This window comes from Homo sapiens, chromosome 5 (assembly GCF_000001405.40).
Source record: "Homo sapiens chromosome 5, GRCh38.p14 Primary Assembly".
Lineage (NCBI taxonomy): Eukaryota > Metazoa > Chordata > Mammalia > Primates > Hominidae > Homo > Homo sapiens.
This window is the reverse complement of record NC_000005.10, coordinates 54,874,804-54,885,318: the sequence shown is the minus strand read 5'-3', so window position 1 is coordinate 54,885,318 and position 10,515 is coordinate 54,874,804. Positions and strand designations below refer to the sequence as shown.

General features: G+C 45.6%; 1 long non-coding RNA gene and 1 pseudogene across 1 annotated transcript; both read right to left on the bottom strand.

The window, feature by feature from the left end:
* Window positions 1–225: 225 nt before the first annotated feature.
* On the bottom strand, window positions 226–1,640 carry LOC124900976 (uncharacterized). The gene is made up of 2 exons (XR_007058770.1): window positions 1,571–1,640; window positions 226–693 (listed from the first exon to the last, which is right to left on the bottom strand). It is a non-coding gene; the product is annotated as an uncharacterized LOC124900976 (long non-coding RNA).
* LOC100130574 (thiosulfate sulfurtransferase like domain containing 1 pseudogene) lies at window positions 6,761–7,036 on the bottom strand (annotated as a pseudogene).

Sequence of the window (10,515 nt, the reverse complement as noted above, 5' to 3'; positions counted from 1 at the left end):
ATGAATGTGGAGGCCAACTCCCATTTTCTACACATGGTCAAAGCAGGAGTAGAAAGTCCCTTAAAGAAAGAGGGTGAGGTTCTCAGGAGAAGGGAGGCTGCTGGGTAGACAAAACATTCCAGCTCAGAAGTAAAAACAGTGGTCTCACAGGTCATGTGCTGAGGAAATGGTCAAAATTTGATTCTATGCTTAAAAAGCACTTCATTACAGAACCAAAAAAGCAAATGAAGGGGAAATGACATTGTTAATTTTATTAGGAACAAAATACCACTAGCATTGATTGTTCTTGTAGCACGTGTTGGCATTTTGATAAACACCCATGTTGCAGAGAACACAACTGAAAGAAATGTTGCCCAGAGGAGCAGATTCTAGAAGGTCCCTGGCGCATCCCCGTCAAGCACTATCCTCTTCAGGCCCTGCTTACGTTAATTTTTACCAGTAGCCGCAGACCTGAGTGGAGGCTTTTCTTCTCTATGATCACGTACCAAAACTCAGGGGCGATATCCACCGGGTGGGGACTCTTGGGTCTTCTGATAGAGTTGCTTCAAAAATTCAGTGGAATAATTTAGGGGCCGTGCTTTCAAAGAAACAAAAATCAGACTCACATTTAAGAAGGAATGATTAGGTTGTCTTCTCTCCTTCCATTCATATTCATCCAACACCTATTTACTGATGCTATGCGCCAGGCAGACACTGAGGATATAGAAATGAGAGAAACAAACCCTCTGCCCTCCTGAAGCTCACCCTGGTCAGGGGAAGCGGTTGCCTCAAGGCCGGATGACTGTCCTACCTTCTCCAGGAATCCTTCTGCCTCCTCCCAACCCTCCAGCCTGCTGCCCTCACTCTTGACTTGTCACAATCACCTGCTCGGACATGCACACTTCCCTCCATCGCAGATTTCGGCCGGGTGGGGCAGGGGCCGTTTACTCTCTGCCCCCTTACTTAGGTGCCACCAGGCCAGTTTGATGCTACCAGCGGAGGGCGGGGGGTAAGGATCGGGGTAAAGGCCCAGCCCGCTCCTTGCGCTGAAGGGGCGCAACAGCTTCAGGATGCAAATGGCTCTCCCCGCCCCGGCCCTGCCCCCGAGATGTTGGGGGGCGGCGCCCCCTTGCCGGGCTCCGGGTCGCGGCGGCGCAGGTAGCTCGGCCGCCGCTGGGGAGTGAGCGCGGGACGCGGGGCCGCCGCGGCGGGATGGGGCGGTTCGGGGCCCGCCGCCTCGTCCTACTGGCTGCCTGCCTGGGGTTCTGCGGGGCGCTAGGAGGTACGCGCCCCAAACTTCCCCTCCTCGTCCCATCCCCGGCCGCGCGGAGCCCGCTTGGAGAGGGTGGGCGAGCGGGGAGGAGGGCGCTGGCAGGGAGACCCCCTCGGCGCTCCTGAGGGCCCCAGGCAATGCTGGGCCAGGTTCGCCCCGCCGCGACCCCGACTTTGACTCGCAGGCAGGGCATTCCTGAGCCGGGCGGCCGGTGGAGGAGACCGCTCGGCCCTGCGAAGTGGCTGGGGCGCCGCCGCGAAAAACTTCCATCTCCCGGTCGGTGCGGCTGGCGCCTCCAGGGCAGGACCTGTTCCTCACCTCCGCGTGGCCTTCCCGGAGGATCGGAGTTTTAAAGTCGGCCTCCTGACTGTATTCCTACGAGCAGAATGAATGATTCCTGCTGTCTTCCCTCCTGATCCTTCTTAGCACTGCTCCTCACCCCGCCCCCGGCGAGTTACTCTGCCGCACGTGACCCGCAGGGCTCGGGTTACCATAAACTTACCGCTGGAATCTTCTTTGGCCACCGGCCCGCTGTCCCATAAGCCCCTCCACCTGTCAGCATAAAATTTCTCGGTTCCATTAGGAAGACGTGCTCTACATTTCTGTGGCGCTTTTCAGAGGTTAAAGATTGCTAATGACATAATTCTTTAGACTTTTTACGTGATTGAGCCCTGTACTTGGTTCTTCCCTCCCTTCACGGCGTTTTAAAATTGAATTCGGTTCAGCAACAGACTCCCTTGGAGACTTTTTAAGAGAACACATTCTAAATCAAAGGCCTTGTATCGCTGTAGTACTTGGATCAAATTCTAAAGTCTTATTCACTGCATTTTAGGCGTAGACAAATAGTGTCCTTGCTGCCTACACTCTTGCTGATTTCATAGGAGCTTTGCAGCACCTTCCAGCGATGACCCACCCCTGGAGTAGAGGATGCCTCACCTTCCCCTTGTGGCAGTGGGGAGGCCGGGCTCTGTTCTCAGCTCTGCTCCTTCCGTCCTGGATTTTCCTGTACCGCTTCCCCGCCCATTCCTGCCTGGTTCCCAGAGTGGATAGCACAGGGAACTGGAGGCCTAGGGCTACTGTGACTGTGGCTTTGAGGGGGAAGATGTGAGTTGCAGGCCAGGGAGATCTGAGAGTGCAGTGAGTGCCACGCGGGGACAGATTGGGTGGTGATGGGCAAGGATCCAGTGATCCAAGTGGTCAGTGTAGGGTGATAGGAAGCATTGCAGTCAGATGGATGTGGCTTCAATCAGGGTGCTGTCCTATATTCTTAGAATTTGGGGAAGTTACTTCTCTGAGTCTTGATTTTTATCTATGTAAAATGGAGATGATGATAGCTTCTTCAGAGAGGCTTAAATAAAATACTATGTAAGACTGCCTAGCAGCCTGAGAACCACTCATTAAATACTCATTTCCATCCTTTCCTACTCATTACCCTCCTTTCCTCCCCATCTGTGCAATTACCTTGGGTAAGTGCCAGTGGATTAGAAATCCATTTAGGGGAGAGAATGTGGGTAATGGAGATTTATTGAATAAAGAATTCCATAGCATATATTTTAGCATATATGCTGTTCTTCATCCATGGTGCCGATGGCATGACAAATATTGAATACCAAAGTCTTATTCAAATCTACTTTGGCATACTTGGAAGAATATTTTCTTGAGTAGCCAGATGCATTATATGAATTTAAGTTTCTTCCTTAGCTCCTTGGGTGATTCAGGCTATTGCCTTTAGGTCGGTTCTGCTCTCAGTCCTTGAAGAACAAAGGGTGACGTGTCCTGGGCTTGGCAAGTTTCATCACGGTGGGAAACCACCTTTGTCTAGTGACAAAATACTGTCTAGATAGAAATATCTTTATTTGTAAATCATCTATTAGTGCTACCAAAACTAGACCACTCAGCACTAGACTCAATCAATGGTTCAATGGTTCAATGGTTCAATAATTTCTCATTGTTTGACTACCTTCTTGTCAGATCTCCTTAGCGTATTACTGCCTTACCTTGTAACAAGGCTGGTGGAGAACTTGTCCAGGAAGAGAATCACCAGCATCGCTTGTTCCTCTGCGTTACTGGTCCTTACATTATTTGTATATAGCTTTAGCCTGTGGTTTGTTTGGAGGAATTTTGTAAGCTCCTGATCATATTTGTCAGGACTTGTTTAGTTACAGTGAGATAATGCAATTAGTAGACCCAGTTATCCAGGCAAACCTGCCGGTGGTGTGTACTGAATGTGGGGAGAGAGAGAGGGCATCACAGTCACTTTCTACATTGTAGAAGCCCCACCCATCCCTTAGGAGACTTGTGTACTGAGCAGATGAAACTCACACTCAGCAGGTGAGGCCGTCTCATGCCAGTTGAGACAGGATGTCAATCAGTCTGTAAATTTCAAATGAAAAAAATCTTCAGTTCTTACTGGTTTTTAGATACAACAACCCCAGAAGTCCTAACATTTTCTTTTGGTTCCAAAGTAAATAACTTGGCATCCCACGTTACCATTTCTTCTCCAAAGCTGTGGTGCCCAAACCCTAATGTTTTCAGGAGCCAGTGAGTCATAGTGAGCCAAGCAGCCACTTAGTGTGGCAGGAGGTGACGCAGAGTGGTGGGTACCCTGTGGTTGAAGCATCCACACCCCATACATGGTTGCTATGTTGTGGGAACTAATGAGTCCCAGGGTGCCCTGACCATCTGGCTTTTCTAGAGAAGCCAAAAAGTCCAGGTTTTTCTTTAAAATCTCCTGGTTTTAACTTTTTTCTTTTTAAATAGGGCTGTACAGGACATACAAATCACCATAAAGCCCTCTCGGCCTTTGCTCCGGAGGCCCTTAGCTACTGCCTTATTGACCTCTGTATTCCCAGCACATAGTCCATTAACCTACAAATAATAGATGCTCATTAAGTACAAGTGACTGAAGGATAGAATGCTCCTGGGGAGTGTGGTAGGCAGAAAACCAGGCCCCCAGAGATGTTCATGTCCTAATCTCTGAATGTGTGAATATATTGCTTTATATGGGAAAAGGGACTTTGTAGATATGATTATATTTAGGATTTTGAAATGAAGAGAGGATCCTGGGTTATCTGAATGGGCCCTGAATATCAGAAGGGTCTTATAAGAGGGAAATAGGAGAGTGAGAGTTGGAGGAGGAGATGGGAAGCTGAGGTTGAAGAGGTGTGATTGCTGGCTGGGGCCACACGCCAAGGAAAGCAGGTGGCCTCTAGCAGCTGGAAAATGAAGAAAATAGATTCTCCCCTAGAGCCTCTAGAAGGAAGGCAGCCCTTCAGACACCTCGATTTTAGCTCAATGGGACCGCTTTCAGATTCTGACCTCCAGAACTTATAAGATAATAAATTTGTGTTAGTGTAAGCCACTCAATTTGTGGCAATTTGTTATAGTAGCAACAGGAAACTTATACAGGGAGTTTTTGTCTTAGTAAAAGAGATAATTCAATGGCCATATAATCTTATGGGGGCATGAGATGGCAGTGCCATCAGAGAGGAATGAGGGGCTGGAAGAGCTACCAATGTTAGGCTGGGGGCTTTAGAGAAGGTTCTGTCCCTGTGGGGAGTGAGTCTGGCTACAGCACTGACTCCCATGCCTGTGGCTGGGGCCTGGCAAACTCCCACACTAGTTGGGCAACGAATACAGGAACACATAATTGCCACACAAGGGGCATACAGGATAGGACACAGGTTCTGTGACACCTAAGAGAGAGTTGTCAGCTCAACCGGGGTAGACTGGGCACCAGGACTGCCTCACTGCACAATTCCAGGGGATGCTACTTACATCAGAGACTCCAGGAACAGCTTCTCCTGGAATTATGCTGGTCACAATCTACATGGCCTTGCACAGTGGACATGGGGTCCTGGGGAATGCCCTGTTGAGAGGAAGTAGGGGCAGGGTACCTGCTGTTTTTCTTTTTGTAACTTCAGGTCCCAGTACAAAACAGTTGCAGGAAAGCTAATATTTGGAGAATGAATGAATAGATGAGAGACTGGTGGGTTGTGTTCTGCAAAGCAGGAAGTCCAGGGCTATAGATTGCTTTGGCTGTACTTGGAAACCCAAGATTTGCATTTTCACTGTGGGCCTGGGCCTAGCACTCTCTCCTCTGCTCTCCTCCAAAAGTGCCAGCAGAGGGATGTGGCACCAGAGCTTCCCCCTCACTCCAGTCTTCTGAATATCTGGTCAACTGTCTGCCCTATAGCCATGGAGCAAGTATTTTAGTAGCCCTGAGTTTTGTGGCAGAGACTTTCAGAATTTTCCCTGTTGGGGTTTGCTTTCAGTGAATAAAGGAGATTGAGCTTCCCAGGGCATGTTTGATGTTTGTGCTAAGTTCTTTCTTTCTTTTTTTTTGACAAGAGAAAACAGGTTTATTTTGCCACCAGTGCATTAGCACACTAACAAGTATAGGACTTAACATTCCAAAGGAATATACCCATGCTAGTGGGAGTCATTTACATTTAAATGTATATACCAATGTATCCATACCTCAGTCAAGATACAGAACATTTCCATCACCCTAGAAAGTTCTCTCCTTGCCTTTTTTTTTTTTTTTCCAATTTGTTGTTGTTGTTCTGAGACAGCGTCTCACTCTGTCACCCAGGCTGGAGTGCAGTAGTGTGATCTTGGCTCACTGCTCCCTTGACCTCCTGGCCTCAAGTGATCTTCCAGTGCTCAAGTGATCCTCCCACCTCATCCCCCCAAGTAGCTGGGACTACAGACACGTGCCACCATGGCTGGTTAATTTTTCGTATTTTTTTTTTTTGTACAGACTGGATTTTACCACGCACAGGCGGGTCTCGAACTCCTGAGCTCAAGCGATCCACCTGCCTCGGCATCCCAAAGTGCTGGGATTACGGGCCTGAGCCACCGTGCCTGGCTCCTCCTTGCCTTTTCCAGTTAATCTTCTTCCCTCTAGAAAAGCAACCACTGTCCTGATTATCTATCCCCATATTATCATATTAATTTTAATTTTTTATATTACAAATTTCATCACTACCATGCTAGTCATAACACTGCTATAAGTCATTAGAAGCTGTTAATGTATTTTCATCGTTCAAATTTCACCTACTTCTCTGGATCCCAGATTAATTGATTTTTTTAAGGTCACATTTGCGTGTTAATCTGCAGGTCTAGCTCATAATCTCTTTGATGAATAGAAGGTATACTAACACAATGTCATACATGATTAGGTAATGTAAGTAACCTGGTCTTTCAGAATACTATTGAATGATACTAAGCTACTTTAAAATTAATTCCTAAAATCCCAACCCTTATATTTCCATGGTGAGTAACATGCATCATCTCAGGGGAGAGTGGCATTTTCAGTTTACAGATGAGAATATGATTCAACAACTAGCTGACTTATACAAAAATCCCCTTTCCATAATCGGTGGTGCCAGAACTAGATTTTTATTATTTTGCTCATTCCACTATCCTAGGCTGCATGTACGCAAGGAAAGAGGCAACTTGTATTCCAAAAATTCAAATTCCTTGTCTCTTCTCTGAAAATTCATAGGTTACCCACTCTTTCCATCCTCCAGCATAGTGTTGAGCACTGTGAAAGCCCTGCGATATTGCAGTGCCCAGAGCCTTCTTGCTTCTCACTCCAGCTGAAAAAGAAAACACCAAGTTGCCAGATTTGGATGGCTTTACTTCATTGTATTTCTCTTTGAAGTCTCTTGGGTTTATCTGTAGAGCTTCACCTACCTCATCCAATGGTATATTGATAGACCCAGGGATTTTTCCATACTCCAGAATTTCCCGTGTCTTTCTAACATCAATTAATATGATATTTTTAGAATTCAATAGGTTTTTTAAGTTCCTTATAAGTGACATCTTTAGAAATAGCAGTATAAAAATTGTGGCAGTTTCCGTTTATTGACCTCAAACTGCAGAGTGCAGCTTCCAGAGTCCAGAGGACAGCCCTGCACATGGTCCCAAGCAGCAGCCAGGACACCACCATGCCCTGCTAATTTTTTATATTTTTGGTAGAGATGGGGTTTTGCCATGTTGGCCAGGCTGGTCTTGAACTCCTGACCGCAGGTGATCTGCCTGCCTCGGCCTCCCAAAGTGCTGGGATTACAGGCGTGAGCCACCTAGTCCAGCTGAGATTCTTAAGGATAGATTTGTAATGCAAAGTGTGGTGTTCCTTTCCAAGTGAAGTCACTAATCTCAGATGACACAACAGAAGTAAGAGCTGCTTTATTAATGCAAGACCTCCTCTTAAGACCTCATCTTAGGACTTTGTGTAATGCAAATAATTTATCACAGAAGTTTTTATTTTTTTAAATTTTAAAAATAAGTTATAATTATGATATCTGCAGAATATATTTGGAAGAATAGCAATACACAAAGAGGCACAATTATAAAATTAGCGAAAATATGATACAAAAAGGTAATTCTAATTTTCAGTGAAAGGTGATCTAAAATCTTTTTTGAAATACTTTCCTAATCAGTTTCCATCCTGCGCTAGTTTTGAACTCACATAGCTATGAGACTGATTGATCTTTCTAAAACCCCAAACAGATCTGTCTCTCTTCAAATGAAAATCATTTGATGCTTGCCTATTGTTTTCAGAATAAGGTTCAACCTCCTTAACATAGTTCATAAGGCCCTCCCTGTCCAAGGGGATCCAGTTGGTGAGTCATTTGCTTGCTCCCCAAAAGTTCAGTGAGAATTTCTTGTCACATATACATCAACAAAACAACACAAAATGAAACCAAAGCTTCTCCTCCCAGGTTCCCTGTCTCAGTAAGTAGATACTAAGCCTGAAACCTAGAAATTGATCTGGATTGCCCCTTTGTCCTCTCCCTTCTCCCTACCCTGACAATCCTATCTAAATATTTCTTGAACACACCCTTTCTCCTCCCTTTCCCTAGACCCAGCTACTTGCTGAGAGTCTGCGTTTCAGCCAGTCATCTCCTAAACTGCAATCTGATCATGAATGTCCCTATTTGCTCCCTATCTAGCCCTCTTTGCGGATGGAGTCTGAATTCTTTAACTTGCTTTCCAAGACCAGCATTTATTTAGTGAGTACTGTTTGCCAGGCACTTGTTCTAGGCACTGAAAATTAGGCAGTGATCAAGACTAACAAAAGCTTCTGACCTCAGAATCTTACATTTTATTTGGGGTGGTGTGGTCTTGGGGCTGGATAATAAGAAAGCAAATAAAGAAAGTAATTAGAGATTATGATAAGGGCCTTGAAAGGAGTAGCCAGCCATCGACCTGTGTGCATTTGCATGTCTGTGTGTGAGGGCACTTTAAACAGAGTGGCCAGAGAAGGCCTTTCAGAAGGACAAGGTGGGGTTTGTTCTCTGACGTTTGCCCCGTGACCCCTCACACACCCCTCAGCCTCCACCCTAGCTGTCCTCCTAACACTGCCCTCAGCCAGACTGGACTTTCAGGTGCTTGTGTTCACCTCTCTTATCAGGGGACCTGCCCCGATAATCACGTAGGTTCTTTTCTATTTTCCTAAGTGTCGACTGGCTTGAGAAATAAAAGGACAGAGTACAAAAGAGAGAAATTTTAAAGCTGAGCGTCCAGGGGAGACATCACACATTGGTAGGATCCGTGATGCCCCACAAGCCACAAAAACCAGCAAGTTTTTATTAGGGAGTTTCAAAAGGGGAGGGAGTATACGAATAGGTGTGGGTGACAGACATCAAGTACTTAACAGGGTAATAGAATATCACAAGGCAAGTGGAGGCAGGGCGAGATCACAGGACCACAGGACCGAAGCGAAATTAAAATTGCTAATGAAGTTTTGGGCACCACTGTCATTGATAACATCTTATCAGGAGACAGGGTTTTGAGATCAACCGGTCTGACCAAAATTTATTAGGTGGGAATTTCCTCTTCCTAATAAGCCTGGGAGCACTATGGGAGACTGGAGTTTATTTCACCTCTGCAATCTCGACCATAAGAGACAGGTACGCCCCGGGGGGGCCAGTTCAGAGACCTACTCCTAGGTGCGCATTCTCTTTCTCAGGGACGTTCCATGCTGAGAAAAGGAATTCATCGATATTTCTCCCATTTGCTTTTGAAAGAAGAGAAATATGGCTCTGTTCCGCCCGGCTCACTGGCGGTCAGAGTTTAAGGTTATCTCTCTTATTCCCTGAACAATTGCTCTTATCCTGTTCTTTTTTCAAGGTGCCCACATTTCATATTGCTCAAACACACATGCTGTACAATTTGTGTAGTTAACGCAATTATTACAGGGTCCTGAGACGATATACATCCTTCTCGGCTGACAGGATTAAGAGATTAAAGCAAAGACAGGCATAGGAAATCACAAGGATATTGATTGGGGAAGTGATAAGTGTCCATGAAATCTTTACAATTTATGTTTAGAGATTGCAGTAAAGACAGGCATAAGAAATTACAAAAGTATTAATTTGGGGAACTAATAAGTGTCCATAAAATCTTCATAATCCACGTTCTTCTGTCATGGCTTCAGTCGGTCCCTCCGTTTGGGGTCCTTGACTTCCTGCAACACTCTCTCCCTTCTTTCCTGTCTTCCTGTCTGCTCCATTGCTCAGGTCTTTCCAGAAGCCATTGCCTGAAACCCTCTGACTCCGCCTCCCTTGATTAGGCCCCGTGCTTCTGTTGTGTGTTTTTCAATTAATAATCAAGCAACTGTAATAACTTGATTAGCAGTCTCTCATGTTCACCATTGAATCCTCAGTACTAAATAAGATGCTTGGTATCACTTGTGGACAGAATAACCCATGCATAGGACGGCCACTTAAATCTGCCCCTTTCCAAGTGAAGTCATTAATCTCACTTTAGAGATTAGGGATAGGGAGAGACACTTTATAGTTGGATTGCTCCTTCCCTTATACCTCAGGTGGCCCTGGAGGTGCTTCTGATGGACCAACTTTCTAATATCACTTGGGTGCACACTCTTCTTTCCAAGTGGCTTTCTTCTTTGGTAGGCTGCAGGCCTCTTTGTTTCATTGATTCTGCATCTTCAACTCCTGACAATACCTGGCACATAGTAGGCACTCTATAAATAGTAAGCCAAACAACAAAAGCATAGAACCAAAATAAAACAAAAAACCGGAGAGATGTAATTTGGAAGAAGGAATGGGAACCAATTCTAAGGAGGATATAATGAATAAAATAATCACCTTCCTGGGAGAAATTGCAGAGCAGTCTAAATGTTTTATATATTTTACCAACGGAAGACTCTGGCTGCCACTCAACCATTTCCTCATTTCTGTAAGCATGCAAAACCAGGAGGTTATCTGATTATTGCTCAACTTTGTTTC